Source organism: Homo sapiens, chromosome 6 (assembly GCF_000001405.40).
Source record: "Homo sapiens chromosome 6, GRCh38.p14 Primary Assembly".
NCBI lineage: Eukaryota > Metazoa > Chordata > Mammalia > Primates > Hominidae > Homo > Homo sapiens.
The window spans coordinates 123,802,163-123,823,755 of NC_000006.12; the positions used below are offsets into that span (position 1 = coordinate 123,802,163).

Consider the following 21,593-nt stretch of genomic DNA (forward strand, 5'->3'; position numbering starts at 1 on the left):
TTAAAACCAGACATTCTCATTATAGCAATAAAATATCTGTGCTCCATAAATTTAACAAAGTTAATCCCTTTTTGGCTCCCTAGGACTGACGAAACGTTTCTGAAAATTCAGTGCCAGGCTCTGGAGAATAGTCTCTCTGCCCTATTCAATTTATTTGTATTTAGTCATTCTGATACGTCATAATGTTTATTCAAAGGAAGCAATCATTCGGGATCCTTATTTGTGGTTCCCAGCATAACTTTATCCTGTATAAATGCCATTTTTCTCAGTAGGCGCCAAGTTCCAGTTGCTACAGAGAGCTCTCTGCTTGATGTGGCTTCGTCATCTTAATCTCTTAAGAAGGGTGCTAGGGAGCTGTTTGCTATTTAGCTCCCTAAACCATCCTCTTATCAATCGCGACACTTCACCCCAATGAGTCAGTTCCTCAGTGGATCTCAACAAATAATCTTCACTTCCTGGAAAAGTTAGGATTGCTTTCCTTAGCTGCCAGGGCTAAAAAGGAAACTTGGTCCTAAATATCCACGCCCCAGGGGCAGCCACTTGGGCCAGCATGTTGCGCCCTTCAGCTTTCCGCCCGCAGGTGGCAGCAGCGGGCTCCGAAGCCTGTCTCTGCAGGTAGCAGCCGCTTCACAGCTTTCAGGCCGGTGCTCAGCGGAGGCTGGTGCATCTCCACTAGGAATCCACACCCAGCTGGGACTGCTGTGAAGCTGAAGTAACTGAGTATTAAACTAGTCTCCGACTCTTTAGTATTTTAAGTGAAAACAAACAACAGTTTGAAGCAGCAACAGCAACTCATTGCATCCCTATTCCCTCCGGTTGCTAATTTTTCCCAACTCCAGCAGCAACTCGGTCCCCTTCCCCAAGCAGGGTCGGCTCCGTAGCTCTCCGCGCTCCGACCCTTCAGATCCTCGGGAGCCCAGGGGAGCCAGGTGCTGGGCGGTGCGTCCGGTGCCGCCGCGCCCCTTCTCGCCACCTCTGGCCTCTCCGCCACTCGGGCTTTCCGGCCGCTCTGGATGCCTCGGTTGCACCCCTGTTCCATGACCCCAGCTTCCTTCCCTAACCCTCCTCTTGGTCCCTTCTCCCCCGAGCGCGCGCGCACACACACACTCGGTTCGCTCCCGCGGAGTGGCTCTGGGAGCACGACCGACTTCAGCTCAGCAAACCGCGGTCATGCCGCCCAGACTCCTCGCCCCGAGGCCCCGGTCCCCGCCGCCGCCGCTTTCGCGCCGCTCCTTTCCGCCTAGACACCGCCGCCTGCGGCCGCCTGGGCGGCAGCCCCTGCGGTCCTCAAAGTTGGCCCCCTGGGAGGGGGCGGCAGGGAGCAGGATGAAGGATTTGTTGTAGGAGGAGGATTCACACATCTGGGCGAAGGGAGGGGCAGCGCCGCTGCTGGGACGCGGCGCGGACCCGCATCATTGCGCGCAGCAGCCGCTGCAGCAGCCGCCGGGGACCGCGGAGCCGGGACGCCCCCGCTCGGCCCGCGCCCCGCTCCCCGCCCCACCCCCGCCCGCCGGGCCCAGCAACGCAGGGTGCCTAGGAGCCGCGGGCTGCGCAGGGAGGCGGGCAGCGGCCCTCGCGCGCTTCTGCCGCCCCCGGAGCCGGCGCGCGGCGAGCGCAGGGCGAGCGCGCGTCGGGCGGCGGCCGCGCTGGGGGGCGTGAGGCGAGCGGCGCGGAGAGCGGCAGGGGCGAAACTTCGCGGGCCAGATGCCCGAGGGCGCGGCGGCGCTGCCAGGCTGCCGCTGCTGCCCCTGCGGGCCCCGAGCGCGCCTCCGCAGGCGGCACTGCCCGCGGCGCGGCGTGTGCACCGAGCGAGTGAAGGTATGTGTGGCGGGCGCGGCTGGAGCTGCCGCCGCCGCCGCCGCCGCGCCAGCAGGTCCTAATGCCTGTCACTTCCCAGGACGCTGGCAGCAGCAGCAGCCCGGAGCCCCCGAGCCCTCGGCAGGTTTGCGTGTCCTTCCCCGCGATCTGATTGGATAAAGTGGGGGCTCGACGGTGGCCGACGTGGGACAGTCTGGCTGTGGCAGGGGTCTCGGAAACCATGGGTTATTGCAGTGGCAGGTGCACGCTTATCTTTATCTGTGGCATGCAACTGGTAAGTGACACTTGGGTCCCCTTATTCTGTAATGTGTCTTTGAGATAGTGGGCAGGGGAGTGCAGCAAAGGGTCTGCCATTGACTAGAATGGACGAAAAAGATAAAAGAGAAGGTGACAGATATATTGCCTATATTGAAGATGATTTCAGGGAGACGCACTCTGGGGTACAGGAGAGGTGAGCCTTTCCGTTCCCACCTATTTCTGTCCCTTTTAAGACAGTTTGGCAGGTGCGGGTTAAACTTGTCTTTAATTTCTTTAGGAAAAGCAAGATGTAGCTCTTGTTCTTTATGCTTTGCATTCCTATTCATGTAACAACGTGATTGTCACCTACAATTTACCGTACAGGTTGTTAAACAGAGGAATACGGAATTTTGGACTTTTCTTCTCTATACTAATTTTGCAGTATCTTTGTTTCTTCATAGACATGTTTTTTTTCTTTTTTTAAGGAAAATGTTGTCTTTAAGTATAATGCTCTAAAAAAACCACTGTTTAGGGCACATGGTATCCTTACAACAGTCTAATTTAGACTGTTTGAGTTTTAGCCACATTGAGTTTTTAAAGTATGCAGATTGAACAAAAATACTTAGGTGAACTCAGCAACACCATTGTCATAGACGGAACCAGTAACCTTTAAATCACAATTAACACAGACAATTCCAAGAAAAACTATTCTGTCTTACATTATGCATATTATTGCTCCTGAAATAGATACTGTTGTCTGATCCTATAGGATGGAGAATTCTATGTACTTTTTGAGGAATGTTGTACAGTTGCAAAGGGGCAAGGAACCAATAATGGAAAACGTCATGTCTCTGAATTTCAATTCCCTAAGGGCAATGGAAGGAGGGTCTGAGTAGAGAGTTGAGAGGTGAAAAATACACCACTCTAAGTGGTTAATTTGAGGTAGGAGCTACTTGCTCACACTTGTCATTAAATATATTTCCTTAGAAAGTATAAATTAACTGGAATAGTCATGTCCGTTTTCAACAACTGTTTCATAAAGGTTGAAGTGACTACAAGGCAGAAGATGTTTAAGTGTCCAATCAGTAAAGTGTTCAAAAGAGCAAGGATTTGCCATTGAAACTGGCAGAGGAATTCCTTAAGTGTTCTTGTTTATCAGTTGTCGTGAAGCCCATGAGTGTTAGTTATTGCTGCTTTGTTTAATATTTAGCTGAAACAGTGCTTTTTGTTGTGTGTTGTCTTAGGATGTTTTTCTTTCCCCTGAAAGTTATCTGATGGTGTCTATTTTGATCTGTGATTTATGCGCTTATGCACTTGGTTGTAAGACAAAGATGGAACTATAAATGTAATTTTCAGAATGTGGTAGTTTCTCAATGATGTGTAAACCAGTTTATTTTTCTGTACCACAGATTCATATAAGTTTTGCAATGAAGGATTTTTACTCTTAATAATAAAGCTAACCAAAACAATGAGGGAGTTTACTTTGTTAAACAACCCATTAGGCTAAGTCTGCCAAACTGTATAAAGGTTTTCAAAACATTCTTATTTTTATATATTATTCAGAAAAAGAATACATTTGCTGATTCACTGTGTGAAAGCATAAAAATGTGAGAATGAGTGGGTGTGTAGATCATTCTTATGCTCTTTTCGATTTAAAATTTGAAAAATGTGATTTAACTTCTAATCATGTAATATAATAGGGCTTTCTTATGGCAAATGTATGCACTAGGTCTGTATGACATTTTGTGTGATGAATACAAACTCCTCAAGAACTTAATTTTAGAAAAACATAAATATACCAGTAGGGAAGCTATCTATTCAAAGTAGAATGATAAAGCTAAAGGTTCCTTTGTGTTTTTATGTGCTCACATATGTGTGTATGTACATATGCTCTTGAGTACATGCATGCATCCATACATACAATGGTGTCTTGGAGAGTTGCACCATCACTTATGAAACAGAAATTCTGAATTATAATTAAGTTCTCTAACAGAATAGACGTAGCTGTAATACAGAAGAGCACAATCTAAGTAAGTGTACATTGGAATCCTAAGGAGTTTTTATATTATATGAGAATCATGTGATTTTTCCCATTCAGACTTTATGTGCCACCAGGCTAATATAATTAGCAGCCATGTTAACGCAGATGCAGAACAAAAAACAAAGGACAAAGAAAATGCAATTGTTTTGATAGGGTGAAATGATCACACCTCAAAGGACCTCAGAGATTCTTGGTAATTGTTGCTTTTTGGAAATACGGTATTTGATTTTAAATAAAATAATTCTTTTGCAAATTAATAGTTGCAAAGCCCTGCACTAAAAAATAGGTGGGTGTGTATGTTTTCCTTTTGCTCTCAATAGATTTTTAAAAACTTTTTATGTCTTTGCGCTATTATGAGTAGATTGTTTTACAAATAAACCAGGTTTCTAGACTAAGTTATGACTCATGTACCATTGACTGAAATAAAAGTTAACCCAGTTTTGTTTACTTCTCAAGTGTTTAGTATGTGTTCTTGTAACATTTGGGCATCTTTTTTTTGGTAACTGTACAGGAAAAAAGGCCAAAGAGACTCTAAGTTAGAAACTTTATTCAGTTGCTTTATTATGTGACTTGATTAAGGTTCTGGAAACATTAATCTCCAGTCCTCGGAGCAAAGTATTTGTATTTTAAATAAATTTAAGGGAATATTTACATCTGTACCAATTTGCAGCTAATCTTAGGAGAGGATGAGGTGGCTTTTGGTATTGTGGATATGGTGATCTCATTTATTAAGTTATTATCAGACCAGACACGGTGTTTTGACCATTTAACAATTGAGGGACAGAGGCAGATTCTTCAGAGACATTTACCTGTCAGAATTCTATATCTGTGCTTTAAATTAGTTAAATATACATTTAATTTAATGTTTGGCAGACTACAAGTATTGATAAACATATACTCTTCTCAAAAATCAGGAGATCCGTTTATAAAACAAGAAACTAGAATTCCATACCATAGAGATTCATACAAAACTTCCATTTTATGAAAAACTGTTTCCATATATATCATAAATTAAAATCTTTGAGTTGTATGGTTATGCCAACTTCAGATTTTAGGGTGATTCCTACGTAAAGGAGTATGATCTCTGGAAACAGATTTATTCCATGTGCAGAATCCAGAGCTTAAGCTCATAATCTCAAGAAGGTAATTTTCTTTTTATCATTGCTGTCCTTAATACTCAGAAACTGAAGATTTCAGATAGTAACAAAAATCATCACTGCATTTGCAATGGTGGATGTAGTGGTATAGGACAAGAAGTTTTTAACTTCTTATTTACTATTTGTAACTTTCAACTTGTGAAAGTTTTGGCATGTTTTCCCCAATGTTTGATTGAATCAGAGTTCTTTTATAAATGTGGAAAAAATTACTCTGATATCTCTCAGTGTGAAAAAATACGTTAAAATATGAAAGAATATAACTTAATTTAGACTGAAAGGACAGATTTGTTTTCAAGTAAGGAAACTCAAAATCCCCTATTTTGTACTTTAGACTTCTGGGTGGCACAAAACATGTCATAAACTATTGAAAGAAAGTTTAGATTTACACTCCACAGAATAACACTTGAAAAATGCCACTATTGCCATGGGCTGTATGAAATATTGTTAACTTGGAGCAGGTGCAACTAACAATTAGGTTAGTACACATTGTGTGTGCAGCTGTGTGAAGGAGTACATTTGAAACTTAATTAAGAATGATCAGTTACTTTCTATCACAGGATTGCTAACCATTTTCAAAGGTACATATTTTTTTTCCTTAAGATGTTGTGAGTGTAGACTAAATTAAAAACAATTTTATTATAATTATGGAATATTTCAGTGATCATGATTTTATGCAGTGTTCATAATCATGTGCTATTTTATTACTTTTTAGAAAATAAAGCGTTGCTGTGAAGTAGCTTGAAAAGTGCAGGTAGAATCTTATGATATTCCTGGTATACTTCTGACAAGTTTGACGGTTTTTCAGAAGTTTATAACTTTATCTGCCACAAAACTTCCTGGCTCAGAGAATTTTAACTTTTTAGGATTCAGATGCCATTGATGATAAAATCTTGAAGTTGTTAACCAAACTTACTCATGAAGAAGACTGAAAATCCCCATACAATACTTTAGAAACTTATCATGTAAAAATATGTTGAGTTTGCTAAGTTGTAAAATGATAACTTTCTTCTTTTTAAATGTTTTCTATTTATGCATCCTGAATATTGTTGCACATGGTTTTGTTTTTAATTTATTCTCACTGTAATTCAGCACTACTCTTCTCTGCCTTATATATACCAGGAGATACCTAGAAACTTCTTCCAGTGTCCAACTCTTCTTTCTTCGTTCACAAAGCAGGTAGCGACTTATTTTCTTGAATACAGCTAAAGTTTCAAAAAGTCAACCCATGTGGAGCTGTTCTCCTGCTTTCTCAAATAAAGGCTTGGATGGGCAGCATTTTTTCTGCAGAGTGCCAGAGTCATCTCTGGCATGGGGCCCGTATGTGGGTAATGACCCAGAAATGCAAATGTGCTTTGCTACCTCCTTTCCCTCTGATGCTGCTTTACTTTGAGGTCAGATTCTCTACTTGCCCAGTCAGGAATTTCAGAGTGGAAGTCAGGGATTCCTTAAAATAGGAAGTCTTTATTTTTTGTTTTTTATTTTTAATATGTGTGTGCTTGAGAGAAATAAAATCTGAGAGACAGAAACATATTTTAACATTTCTATGTTGATCCTGGAAATATAAATACAAAAGTTAATGGCACCAATTGCATTAAATATTCGTATATACAGATAATGCCTACAATTCCAAAGGTTGTATTTCAGTTATGTTATTTGGTAGAATTTCAAACAGTGCAGTATACTTTTTTCATAAGCAGTTTTGAAACTAATATTGCTATTAATGGAAATTACCCTATTTCCAATAACATACAAATGTCAGAAATGAAACACACACATAGGAAAAATATTTGTTTCCCATTTTTTTTCTGATATAATGAACTCTTCTGATTTTTGTTATTTTTTTCCCCTCATGGAAACTTGATTGTTGTTTATTATCAATATAATAAAATACATAAGCCATCAAGATACAATGTATGTAGGGCTACCTTTTTTCATACAATGATAGAATAAGTACTCTATTTATTCCTAATTTCTATAGGATGGAAATAAAATTATATGAAGCATTTGTTCTTACCATTCCCAAGAGATTAAAGCACATTTAAAAATTATGAAGGAACAAGATAAACTTCTATATCATTTTCTTTCTCCAGGTTATGGTAGAAATGAAGTTTATAACTTGGTTTTCTCCTCTTTTAGTATTTCAGGAGTTCATATTTTGTAATACTGCTGTGCACATGTGCGCACGTAATAAATTTGTTACGCTTTTTCTTTTGTTAAAAAATACTTCAGTTGTGTTTAGATATAAAATGCTTAATATATAAAGAAATTACTAGCTTCATCTTCCTGAAATAAGTATTTTTCTTTTTCTTTCCTTGAATTATAAAACAGGCAGTGGGTCTAGCTTATAGGAATATTCTAAGATTTAATCTTATGCAGGTATAGACTCTTTTTGTTTTTCCAACCTGAAATAAGAATAAGGTGACTTCAAAAGCTTATGATTTTTACCCTTTCAGCTAGTTGTGGATCACATGCTAACTTGATCCCTGTAAAAACTCCTTGAAATGCTACATATAAACTGATTTTTAAGTGCATTTTGAAATAAATTTTTTCATTTCATACATTTTTAAATAATTTGTTATGCATTTAAAAATCTAGTTTTATAAAATAATAATGAAAACTATTATTTATTGGAAGCTTGTTCTTGGCTAAATATGTTTTTTTTTCCCCCCACTGAATCCTCTCTGGTAATCCTATGAGGCAGGTAATAGATATTAATATCCTCACTTTACCAGGGAGGAGATGGAGGCCTTGAAACGTTAAGCTGTGTTTTTAAGTCATCCTCTTAGTAAGTGGAGAAGCTTGGATTCAAACCCGGGTCTGTCTGAATCTCAGCCTGACTCTGAACCTGTGCCACACTGCATCCCTTCCATGTAAAATAAAACTATAGCAGCCTCTCATGTTTTTTTTTTCTTAAAGAAAGTAAGTACCTACCTACTAATTCCTTAGTGACCCATTAGTCAACACTTAGGTTTAGAGAGGTGGGGTTGATTGATGTCAGGCTCCTGTCCAAACCTGACCGACTTAGGTAATCTTGGGGTTTGACAACTATGAGCAGCTGGTGTATGGACTAGAGAATAAAAGGGCAGAAGGGGAATCTCCTCGCTGCAGAGCAAGTATCCATTGCTGTTCTCATGCATTTGGGCCAACTTTTGACAGATAACCATGAAATAGGGTCTTGGAAATTTGATATGTAAGCTTAAAATGTATTATATGGAAAGAAAAAATATATTCTTTTTTTTTTTTAAATCCAGCTCTTTTTAAAACCACTCCTTGATGAATGGCCAGTGCACAGTATTGTTATTTGCCTGTTTTTTGTTTGTTTGTTTGCTCGTTTGTTTTTTACATGCTCCAAATCCTAAATTCATCCAGACCACCATTGACCAATAATATTTGCCATAATTATTGTACTTGGGAAGAAATAGAGTAAATATGTTATTTAAAATATGTGTTGAATATGCTTGAACACATTTTGAACCTGAGTGTGCATCAGAATCTCCTGCAGGATTTTTAAACATAGATTTTTGGGCCCTCTCCTAGAGTTTCTGACTGCAGAGGCCTGGGCTAGGACCAGAGAATTTGTATTGCTAAGGAATTCCCAGATGATACTGATGTTGATGATCAGGCACCAAATTTTGAGAACTACTGGCCTAGAATATGTGTCTTCACCTAATGGTGTTACAAGAGAAAGTGAACCTGTTTTTGAAATTCTTCAATCCAACTAGATAATTAACTAAATTCTTCCTATGGCCTTCTACTGATATGAGAGAAAACTTTTCTTCAGGACCTATTTCTGACTTTTAGCTTAGTTCTATTCAGAAGTTTAAATAGGAGAAATGCAAGGTCTTTCCAGCGCGTTTGTGTCTTTGTAATGTATTGAAATATAGAGGAATCTGAAAGCAAGCACCCTCATGTCTGGTAATGCTAGAACAGAATTGGATCCTTCACCTGCCTCTCTTTACTAGCCTAGCCACTCATTAGGGTAAGCACAGCGCTGGGGTGGGGGTTGTGGGGGGGTGGGGGAGAGAGGGAGAGAGAAAGAGAGAGAGAGAGACTGAAAAAGTACTGGGCTAAGTTAGAAGCTGGATTTTAATATACCAAGGAGCTTAGTGCTTCTGTATTGGGTGACTAAATAACTATGACTTTGCTTGAGACATTTATATTTCTGGGTGCTGTTTCCTCATTTGAAAAATAGGGCAAATAATTCCTGACCTATTTACCCTATAGAATAGGAGTATCTAGGGGAGATAATATGCTAAAAGTTAACATCTTTACAGTTTTAATGTTTTAACCTTTCAGAACAGTCCATCTAGTGAGCCCAGGAGTAGTTAAAGGGAAGTTTATGGCCAATGGCCCTAGTTAGAACAACTAGTTTTTTTTCATAGAATCATTTTTTTCTTCACCCACCCATAAATTTTGTGAGGCTTTATAAATAATTAAAACACTAGGTACAGGTAGTTTGAACTAGATAATATGCTATGCGCCTGATATACGTACTTTAAGTATTCATTAAAATGAAACTTGGATTTTACAAACAAGTCAACATTGTTCTTCAGGCCAGTATTTCTAAAACTGTGTTCTGTGGACACTAGTTCAGCAAGACATTCTACTGAGCAAGAACTCTTATGCCCCCCACCGCCCCCACCCTCAAGGGTCACAGTGCATATTAGCATATTAGCAGCTACAGGAAGTCCTGCACTAAACCTCTGCTTAATTCCATTTAACTCAGCAAATATTTACAGAGTGCTTGCAGTGAACCAAGAAATGTCTTTTTCTGATATCCCCTATTAATCTTCCATGGAACTAGCATTTTCAGCAATACTTTTCAGTGAAATATTACTCCAGGCTAATGATGCAGTCTACAAGTTAATATTCAGTGATTGCCTACACAATATTTAAAGGTTAAGAATTCAGTACAGAAACTCAACTGATTAAGCAGATATCTAACAAATAATGCATAAAGATATTTAAGAATATAGAATATTATCAAGTTATTAAAACAAATGAATAGAAACTTGTTTTCAGATGCTTGGCTATTTTATATTATATATGTTCACTTGAGTTTCTTGAAATTATGTTTCGGACACTAAAATCAAAACCCTTAACTGAAGCTCAGTCAAGTCCAATTGCTGATGTTGCAAAGAGGTTGACATGTTGCAGTAGTTTTGGAACTTCTGATATTTAGAACTCCAGAACACCTTGGAGAGGGCATTTGCAGAAGCACTTTCGTTTTAAGGCAGTGGATGAGGAGCAATGTCTGTATCCTACATCTCTAGGCAGGCTAGCTTTTCCAGCATCTCAGCCTACATATTTGCCTTAGGCGGGGGAGTGGTGAAGAATCCTCATACTGACTTTTGTTTTTTAATCAATGCATTACACTCTAAAACAGTAACACATTTAAAACCCCCAACAATGTTGCATTCTTTGGAAACAAATGAGTCTTAGTTTGAAATGGAGGAATCAAATTGGTACACCCTACTCTTAACAGAAGTCTTTGTGTGCATCTGTATTATTCTAATTACACAACAGAATAAGGAGATATTTCAAATCCTTTAACTGACAGCTGTGTATCAAATGATGGAAGGGTCTATGTTACATGTGAACTGTTCGGTGGTAGGGAATTCATAGTATCCTAACCTACACGGGCTTGCAGCCATAAGAGTTATACAAGGTGGATCACCCAGAGTGTTATTTGTATTATAGTCTCTGACACCACTTGGAAACAAAAGTTATAAGAACCTCTGCAAGCCACAATGAGAAGAGAAAATTATACTGGGGTGGAGTGCTGCCTTCTGTGGTCTTGGCCTCTGGAGAAGGGCTGTGCTGATTGTCCCGGGATTGAGCACTTCTTTTGTTAATGGCACCTGCAGTGGTGGAAGGCACCTTGATGCTGGGAATCATAATTCATCCCGGTGGGCATAGTGATTCTGACCTCACTCTCTTGTTAGTCTATAAGCTAGCGATCAGGTACCCTATAAGAGATGGCATATGAAGGTTTTACCTGATTGCTTTGAAGTGCGGGGATGATATTAGGGTTTGTGGATATGTTTACCCCTAGTTATTGGGAACTGTTATAGAATTACATATTTGAAGGCTTTTAGAAACTATTGTAGATTTGGCCAGGTGTGATGGCTCATGCCTGTAATACCAGCACTTTGGGAGGCCGAGGCCGGTAGATCACCTGAGGTCAGGAGTTCGAGACCAGACTGGCCAACATAGCAAAACGTCATCTCTACTAAAAATACAAAAATTAGCGGGGCATGGTGTTGCGTGCCTGTAGTCTCAGCTACTCTGGAGGCTGAGGCATGGGAATTGCTTGAACCTGGGAGGCAGAGGTTGCAGTGAGCCAAGATCATGCCACTCCAGCCTGGGCAACAGAGCGAAATCCCATCTCAAAATGTAGATTTGATGATACATAGGTGGTATATAAAGAGCTCTGGACCTTTTTTTTTTTTTCGTCTTTTTTTCTGTTTAAATAAAACTTGCTCACAACTTTAGTGATTAGTGAACCTATAGCCTGAGATTTTCTCAAATATTGGAGCAATGTATAGGATTATGTGTTTCTTACCCTTATCAACAGGAATTAATGGAGTTTCATTTTTGACCATGTTTTATAAAATGTGGTTCCATTTTATTCACCCAAAAGATAGTAAATTACAGCTGTTCAGTAGTATTTATGAGTTTGCCTTTTCTATGCACCTGGAATTAAAGGCTTCTTTCATTTTCCTACAAGGCAGGGGGTGGAGGGATGGGTGGAACTCCTGAATGTTCAAAAGCAATTAAGTACTATTCTACTTAAAACAATGTTTTAACATTCATTGTGAATTGGAATCCACAATAAATCAAATTAACGAATGAATTCATAGATTAATTTTCTTAAGAACATATTTCTGGTTTTATCAAAAGCGTTCTTGGGAAGTTTCACAGGCTCTTAGAGATACGGGGCAATGCATTTTTAGTTTACCATTTTATAGACTGCCCTGGAATAGATTTATTTTTATTCAGAAAAGCTGCCTTAAAAATCAGGCAAATAGGGTAAGTTCAGTTTACATTTAGTAAATATAAATCTTGCAACAAAAATATGTGGTGACATTTAATTATATTCCTCTTTTATTATAATCCTAAAGGTAGACCTGTGGTTTTCACTTTCTTTTCGTAAGAAAGAGGTGTTAATGATCACTCTGTTACTGTGCCTAGCTTTACTCACACTCTGTTAAGTACCTTAAACTCATGTCATATTTTTTCCCTTACATTGAGAGAAATAAACCCCAATGAATTTTTTTTTGAAGTTTACATAGTGATTTGATGCAAACTTTACACACAAACTAGGGTCATTGCATATTTCCTACTGGTAGGCCCATCTTTTAATTTAATATTTCATAATGTGAATAAAAATTTACATGCAATGGATGAAGAGCCAGACGTGCAGGCCCTGCCCTGGATGTTGGGAGCCGAAGACCCTGGAAAACATTTGCCTGGAATGGTTCTTAGCCTGCAGTGCTGTGTTGCAGTCATGATCATTTAAAAGTGAATGAAGTAATGAATGAATAGTGGGAGGAAATTAAGTAATTACTAAATCAGCTTCATCAAGTAGGATTTATGAAATGTCCACATACGAATAGCATAATGAACATGTGCTGAATAAATTGTGTGTTTCTACCCTTTGGCAATTAGGATATGATGTAACTGAAAAGAACGTCAAGCCGTGTTTCTATCGTAAATCTAGTATCTAGTGGTTTTAATAATTCAAGATTAGTTTAAATTGCAACCTGTTCTTTATCATTTATTTATTTATTAAGCCATATTACTTACTTACTTATGCTAGAAGCTAAACATGCTTTACTGTCTTTCATTCATTGTGTACTATAAAATCACATTTATACTTACTGTAAATAAGATCAATTTTGGTGAGACATAAATGTGGATGTCTGGGTCATTTTGCCCCATTTTAAAGTGTTAATTCATATAAGTTTAATTCATATTATCTAGCATTTGATGCACTTGATGCAACATTACTTCCAAGAGTTTTGTTAAATCAGAACGTAAATAATGAAGTTAATATTGTCTTTATTTTTCATATCTCTAGAGCAGTAGTTTTGAATGTTTTTTGTTTGTTTTTAGCTTGTTTGGCATGGAATCTTGCAAATCTGAAAAAAGCTACTAACTCTCTTACCAGGAAAATGGGCTTCAAAAACTTGTGAGCTCAATCTATGAAACTTAGATGAAAACCCCTAGTATAAATTCTTAATTTTTTTTGTCTGCCATTTCATGAAGAGCTTCTGCTTATCAACAATTTTGATTCAGTTATTTTGAGCTCAGGAAACATTTAAGAGATTATATACATACTTGATATATACAATTATATATTGTAAAGATATATGTATACACACACACGTATGTGTATATAGTGTGCAAGAATGTGTGTGTGTATAATGCAAAATTTGAGAACCCAGGAGTAGAGTTGGGGAATAGAACCAAACTGACCTCTGTCAAGCAGATTAAATGTGGCATGGTAGATATACCGTTAATATAGGGCAGCATGATAAGAACTTAAGATAATTAAGAATAAAATACAAAGGAAATTTATGGGAAGGATTATTTATCTCCTCATAGGTTGATCAAACAATATATGTGGTACTAGTATACGATAGGGAGGATTTCTATAGCTAGAGATTGCAAAAAAGAGTATCCCAGGTGGAAGAAATGATGGTAGTAGAAAGGTGAGAATGAAAGAGAATATATGTGGGACAATGAAGGGTCCAGATGAATGGCAAGTAGGGAAGAATTGTGAGGTGACTTAGGGAATGGAAGGGATAGGAGTCTGGTTTAGTCTGGTTCATGGTTGAACTTGAGCTCCTTGGAAGGAGTTTGGGACCTTATAGAATAGGATATAGGTCTATAGGTCTCTGTAGATGTTAATCATCAAGGCGTATGTCCCAGTGCCCTACAGTAGAATAAGAAACAACACAATGTGAGAGTGAAGGCTTGGGGTTTGGAGCAAGCCCTGTGGGGAATGTGAGGGCAAAGTAGTAATAAATTAAAAGATTGCTAAACTGCTTCAAAGTCCCCGGTGAAATTAGGTGGCAAGCATTTGTAAGAGAACCAATTATTTCTCCGTCAGCACCCAACTTTCTAAGAATTGGAATGAAAAAGCAGAAAATGGAAGTTGCAGGGCTTGTGAGGGCTTATGAGAGCTCTAAGATGACAGTGAGAATAAAATGTCTGAGCACAGGTAGGTGTGGGTGGGAAACCATGCTGTCAGAATGGGAAGGGGTAGTTAGATGATTGAAATGCCAGGCAAACATTTGAGAATAAGGAGGTGGGTACAGCAGAAGTGAGACACTAGAAGAGGTGAGAGGTAAGGTGGTGGTGGTAAGAGACAAGAACAGAAGTCTAGATCTTGAAGAGGAACACTTCATGGATGACGCAAGGCCCTTGATTGGCCACCTAATTGGTAGAGTGTCTAGTTATTGAGAAGGATAGGAGGCAATGAAGCTCAGCTGTTAGAAGAATCATCATTGTACATTTTGGTTTTATTAAAGATGCTTGGAAATAAGAGACCTAAGAGGAACACAGTGAGGAGAGAAAAAGATTGTTCTGGGGGTTGTATATACTGGTGAGAGTTTGGGGAGAGTTTGGTGTAAGCAGATGAAAGGAGCTGGAACAGAATGATGTTTAGGGAAAGTCTGGAGACAACTGGATGGTGGGGGATGATTTTGGAGGAATAGAAATGTTTGTTTAATGAATATGTGAATGGAGTGATTATGGAAAGAGTAAAGTAGGCTTCAGGCAAAGCATTTTTCTCAATGTTCACAACATTGCCATTTTGGAATGATAATGATAATTATTTGTTATGAGGAGCTGCATTGTGTATTATAGGATGTTTAGCAACATCCCTGGCCTTTATACACTAGTTGGAGTAGCATACACCCCGTTTTGACAACCAAAGTGTCTCTAGATTTTGTCAGATTGCAAAATAGTCCCTTTGTCGAGATCCTCTGAGCTAATGTAAAGAGCTGGAAAGAGCACTTAGAAATAACAGGACACTTTCTTCAGAAAGAGTTTGAATTGTCCAGAGGGCAGCTGAGGAGATTGTGAAGGGAAAGACCAGACTGGAGCCTGACGGTTGCAGACCTGTGAGAGTCATGCTCTTTATCCCGAGGCCCGTGTCAGAATCATCTGGAATTTTCAAAGATGTCAACACCAGCGCCCCTTCCTCCATCCCTTTGACCTATGAAAACGGAATCTTCAGGGAGGCAACCCAGCCATGTAGCCATTTTGAAAACTCCTTAGATTATTTTGGTATGTTTCTAAGCCAGTGGTAAATGAGGAGAGCAGGCACATGAATAGTGGGTATGAAGGCATGGGGAAAAAACAGGATGAAAGTAAAAGAAGATTGGAAGGTAGGTTGAGACATACATTAGGAAAGGGGGGTGCTGAATAAGCATTTGTGGGAGTATTGACTGGAGAGGCAATGTTGAATCTAGATTTATTTGAAAGCTACTTTTTATGGTCAATTATGTACTCAACCAAGCCTTCAGTATTCTTGGCTGTTTTACTCAGTTTAGTTTGAGCCAGGTGGATTTTATCTAAGACTCAGTGAATGTCACCTTTCTTTTAGTGCCAGTAAAAACCGCTGATGAATATTTGACACTTTTAATTTGTCTTCTCCCAGATGCAATATTCTGTTAAAATATGCATATAGTATATGTTTCTTCATGAAATGTCTTAAAAAGATTTAAGATAGGAATGCATATTAATTTTCAGACATATAATTATTGTTGACATGCAGGACAAACACGTATTTCTGAATGTAGAAGTTTTAGGTCCAAGTATGAGTTTTTAATTCAATAAAATATGTGGATAAGAGTTAAGAACAATGTGATTGTAAATTTAAAAATTATTTTTTAGACTCTAACAAATTTTCAGACTTCTTGTGGAAACACACACACACACACACACACACACACACACACACACACACACACAGAGGAATCATAACCAGGAACTTCTGTTTGAAATAATATTAAGCTATTAACATTTTTTAGGTGATCCCAAACCCAAGAAGGTTCTGCAAGAATTTTAATATTTGATATCCTAATTCACCAGAAGGCCCAGTTATTGCCAAAGAAGCATAATAAAACAGCAGAGATTTATCTTTTTAAATTATCCTGCTGTATAATTTTGCTTGATCCAATTTGATTTCCTTCGGTAACACTTTTTGGTGGACTCTAATTTGCATGCCTGGAGAAAGGGGAGTAAATTACAAGACTTCTTGAAGGTCCTTTTAACTTGATGGTTTTATGATTAAATCTTGCATCTTAAATTGCCTTTCTCTGGAAGAACCAGGCATTTCCGGCTTCATTTTTGTGTAGAGGAAATTCATATATCACCTCATGTGTTTTTCTGTAAGAAAGAACCAGACAAAATAGCAGTAATAGAGGCAAAACAAACAAACAAAACGTTATAAACTTAGAACTAGATGTAGATGAGGCTTATCTTATTTGCAATTCTGCAAGGATGTACTTGGGTCCACTGAAAGTGCAGGTGAGTGGAAAGGTGTGTGTTTGTCTGTGTGTGTGTTAAGTGGGTGTAGGATGTGTAGGATGTGAGCAAAGGGGGAATGAAAATGATACCGTTCATAGGTGTTAACTTCGTCAGGTGTTCTGGCTATATGTGAGAAGAGGAAAGTGGGTTAACTCAGAATACATTCTTTATTTCTTAGTATATTGTTCTTCTGGATGTGGTAGGTTTTCAACAGGTCTCGTTAATAGATAATCTGCAGTGCTCAGGGTGAAAAGCAGGAGTCTTCCATCTGTATGCCTCGGGAATAGTATCAATGCAGAATGAAATACAGACAGAGATTGGAGAAAGACTACTGTATTCACTTGAAGCCAATGGAAGTTTAGGTGGGCCCGATTGCAATTATCCCCCATTGGAAATTAGCCAGGACACACATTAGTGCATGCTACTTTCTGTCTAGCCTAATTAAAGGATTGTTGAGAACTAACAAAGTTGGCTGACTTGCAAAAGTCAGTGCTTGCTAAAATTTGTAAGTTATAAGTGCTTAACAATATGACCTGATTTTTCTGCTGGGGTCATCTTATTAATTAAAGTTTTCCAATCGTCTAATTAGAAAATACAGTCTGAACTGAGTCTGGAGGATTCCGAGTCTTACTTGCTAATTTAAAGAAAAGTGGAAGGAAGAAGAACAGCTCCCAATTAAAGCAACGCAACGGAAAGCTGGTTCTGGACATGCCCTTGGAGATGCCCCATACCAGCAGGGTAATTATTTAGGATGCACTTCCAGTAAAGAGATGTTAAAGGGACACCAGTGAGTAGCTTTTAAAAGTAGAAATCTGTGCCAGTCCCCAAATTAACTCTTGGACTAGAATGCAAAGCTGGAAAGCATGACCAGCACTACAGATTTATGAGAAAGAGTTTGTTCATTGCTTCACAAGTTATGCTTGATTTTTTTCAGCTCCAATAGTACTTTCTTAAAATAGAGGAACGAAAAGAGCAGTTTGATAATGTTGGTATATTTTAGATGGTAACCTGACACTTTAAAAAAGGTAGATAAAATTCTCTGTATTTTCTAAAGATAAGGTCCTGGAACTGAGATGTCACATTTAAGTCCTTAATAGCCTCGAATTTAGTTATCATCAGCGTCCTTGTAATAATACCAGGCTAGAGCAGTACTGCATTCAAAATAAAAATCTTTCAAAACAATCCAATCAACATCTGCTATGTGCCACCCACTGGACTAAGCAGAAAGTATTAAAAGAAGGACAAAAAGGGTGTGGCCAATGCAAAGGATACATTGATTAGTGTATATATGGCAGTTCACTAGTTACTCAGAGTTTCTGATTCTCCTGCTTACATAGCTAAATGAACTCTTAGTGTTTATATATAGGCAGTAGAAAATACACTACTGGGACAGAGAAGAAAATAAATTATTTCTTTATGATGAAATTAAAAGGACAGAAGATAACTTTTAATTTTTGTTGGAGATTTTTAAATAAGATGCCTGTATTATAAGTGGCCTTGATCAGTTCTGTAGACACATGTTTGTAGATGCACTTCCCATTAATGTGGCAGCAACAGAGGAGGGTGTGGTGGAACCAGTATGCTCCCTCTGCCTTTCCATGCTGACCATCCAGATGCTTTACAGATGAATAAGTCAAGCCAGGATCTAGGTGGTTGTGCCAGACCAGAATCTCTCCTTGCCAGCCATTCTGTACATCATGAGTGGAGATCACAGGTTTACCAGAAGTATATTTATTTATGTATCTTGTAACTGAATTGAATTTGTTAAAATTTGATACTTGCTTGAAATTAATTGGGATATTGTTGCCAACATTTTGCTATTTAGCCGTACCCCTCAATGCTTTTGATTTTGTTTAAAGCCTATAGGAAAATGCTACCTAACTTAAAACTTGAAACTTAAAATATTACTCTTATCCATTCGTCTGTAAGAGACTTGCAAATAAGACATGTCAAGTTAAAATTGCAGTTTTAGGCCTCATTCAAGAAACAATTAGAATGAATATATCACAAACCATAGCGGGGAAAACACTTTAGCTGTTTCACAATGAATTGGCCTCAGAAACAAAGCAGCTGATGGTTTACACCGAGGACATTGATCAGGATTCATTTGGGCTGTTGCTATTGTGTTTTAATGAGTAACATTACATGCCAGCCAATCACATGTCACTAGATCATTATACAAATTGACAGTTTGGAAGAGTATAAAAAACGCTGACCTGAAAGGGGAATTCTGTAGAAGTGAGACGTAGCCACTGGATATTTACATCATTTTTCTTGTTGTTGAGAAATTGAAATAACCCTTTAATGAAAATGGCTCCTTCATATTGTCTCTCACTATTTTAGATCAGGCATCTTATTTTTAGTTTGGAGAATGAGAACAGCTGGTGTCAGGCCAGGTGCTGATAGTACTAATGTTGATGTAAGATGCTGCTCAAATGGACAGTGCAAAGGGAATCATTGTCCCTTGATTTGATCATGCTGGCTCTAAAATTTATTTTTTGATTTGGCATTTGACTTTGCATTATACTCAGAGAGTTGGAAATCACAAAGCCGTGCAGCTGCAGAGTATATCTAGATATAGACCCTGTAACGTTACCTCATAAACCCAGCACTCAGTATTAGCAGTCTTTGTAAATGGAAGAATTCTGTTCTGTAACAAAAGGTAGTATTTTTCTTTATACTGTGAGGGAGGCCTATAGTTTGAAACCACTGTGGGTGTGTAGAGGGACAAGCGGGGGGCCCGAGGGCTGGAGCAAGGAGTGTGGCTGTGGGAGGATGAGGGAGCCGTGAAGTTCAAAAATACTGTTGGCTTTTAAGGTCTCCATGACCCTTGAATATGAGTATGAATAAAGTGATTTTAGAATCTAAGAAGATGTCAAATATTTTTCTTAAAGCTAGTAAGAGTAGCAGGGGATGGATTATCTGAAAATCAGAAAAATCAGAAGTCAATTATTATGCACACACAGTTAATTGAATTTGAACACTTTTTCTTTTCAGCATCCATTTTTATATTGATGACTTTTCCCTTTAGAGTGAGAAAATATGATTCAGATTAAATAATCACTTAACATAAATTAACTCTTTCAAACCTTATGTGGAATTAAGAACTAAAGAACTATTGCTTAGGAAGTATTAATTTTAGGAAGTATTAATTTGAACTTTGTTGTCACGTTTAATGAGATAATGTACTATATCCAGGTAAGTGATTTACACAAATGCCAGAATTCTTTGCACTCGGATGACTGTTAAAAAAAAAACTCCTAGTGTTCTGACAACTAATTTTTTATGCCTTGTTTGTGTACTCTTCTCTTTGCATTTCCTAACATTGGACATTTCTGAAGGCCTAGTTCTTTATTTGCTATTCGTCTTTAAGTTTTGCTATTAGAATTATACATTCTGGAGTTGATAAGCCAGTTGGTTAATAAATATTTATTGGATACACACAGTGGGACATTTACAGAGCCTGGTATTGTGGAATACAAGGAAATAAGAAACAATAAGGAGTTTTCCATGTGGTTAGCAATATTAGAATGCTTAGACTATCTTAGGGAGGTTCACTGATGTGGTCGGTCTAGTTGAGTATTAAAAAATGGGTAACATTTACATGGTTTAAATCAGAGTTTAGAAGGGAGACATGAGACTGGGTTTATGAGAGACATGATCCTCCCATTCAGATTGAAGTATTTTTGGAGGTGTAGTGGGGGTTGTGAAAGGATAGAGTTGGGTAAGATTATGGTTTTTTAGAGTATAATGTTTATGAGAGCTTAGCTGCTGGAATCTGATTCTCAAATCCTGTCTCCAAAATTCCTGTAACTTTGCACAAATTATTTCTCTATGCCTCAATTTCTTAATCTGTAATGTATTTACTTCAGAGAGCTGTTGGAAGAATTTGAGTAGTTAATGCATTTAAAATGCTCAGAATGGTCACTTAGAACTTAGCACTCTATAAATGATATTTTTTGACATTATGAAGAGTTTTGAAATCTAGCAAAAGAGTTTAAATTTTATGTGATAAGTAACGTACAGCCAGGATAAATTCCTTATTATATGTTCAAAGCAGCATTTAAGGAAAAGTAAGTAGAAAACAGAGGACCAATTCAAATGGAGGAGGCTGGGGTGAGGAAGACCACCTACTAAGCTGTAGTATTCGGAAATATCAGGTTTTAAGTTAATGAGAGGCTAGGATAATAGCTACAACAAATATAATGATTAATAAAACCGAAACCTGTATTTTCTTTACAAAACACTTTTGACATAACAGTACGTCCTGGATACAACAGTATCTCTAATTTGGAGACAAAGAATTGGAAACTTAGTGCTGGCTTCTATCATTGTGGTAAGAGTGAAAATAATGGATACAAATCAGATACCTGAGGATCTTTAGAGAAGTAATTGTTGAGATGTGTTGACAGATGGGATAGTTTGACAGAGTGGTTGAGAGGGTGCTAGGTCAGTTCTCAGAGAGGGAGGAGTAAGGAAGTGACATTACTGTTGGGAGGTAATTGAGTTGGGAGAGGGAAACCAGTTAAGTGAGAGTGATAGGAACTTGTTTTGAATTCTTTTGTACTTGATGTGACCGTAGCAAAGGTGATGGAAATGTACCTAGACAGTTGTAGAATGTGTGTAGAGGTCAAGCTTATCAACTCAGTCTTGGGCCTTATCAACAAGTGGGAAGCAAGAAGAGGGCTGGGACTGTGTATTCAGAAATGCCACTCAGGGGATTTGAAGAGAAGAAGAATTATTGAAGAGAAAAGAAGTAATTTGAGTAGTTGGAGAAGGATCAGGTAGTGCATCAT

General features: G+C 38.4%; 1 protein-coding gene across 9 annotated transcripts in view, besides 1 other annotated feature; it reads left to right on the forward strand.

Moving 5' to 3' along the window:
- Positions 459-508: an enhancer, noted in NCBI's record as "active region_25025". NCBI's record gives its function as "activates an Ori minimal core promoter by ATAC-STARR-seq in GM12878 lymphoblastoid cells {active_cell/tissue: GM12878}" and the evidence as "EXISTENCE:reporter gene assay evidence [ECO:0000049][PMID:35858748]".
- Positions 1,703-21,593, forward strand: part of NKAIN2 (sodium/potassium transporting ATPase interacting 2) — a 1,021,776-nt gene continuing 1,001,885 nt past the window's right edge. For 8 of the 9 annotated variants that reach the window (XR_007059213.1, XR_007059215.1, XR_007059214.1 and 5 more), the window contains exon 1: positions 1,703-2,092. Coding sequence is in view for 3 of the 9 variants with exons in the window: in NM_001040214.3 (NP_001035304.1) it covers positions 2,039-2,092 (54 nt within the window). In the remaining 6 variants the exon portion in view is untranslated. Of the gene's footprint in view, positions 2,093-2,222; positions 2,270-21,593 lie in introns of those variants that run through there. The other variant, NM_001300740.1, reaches the window with a different exon arrangement.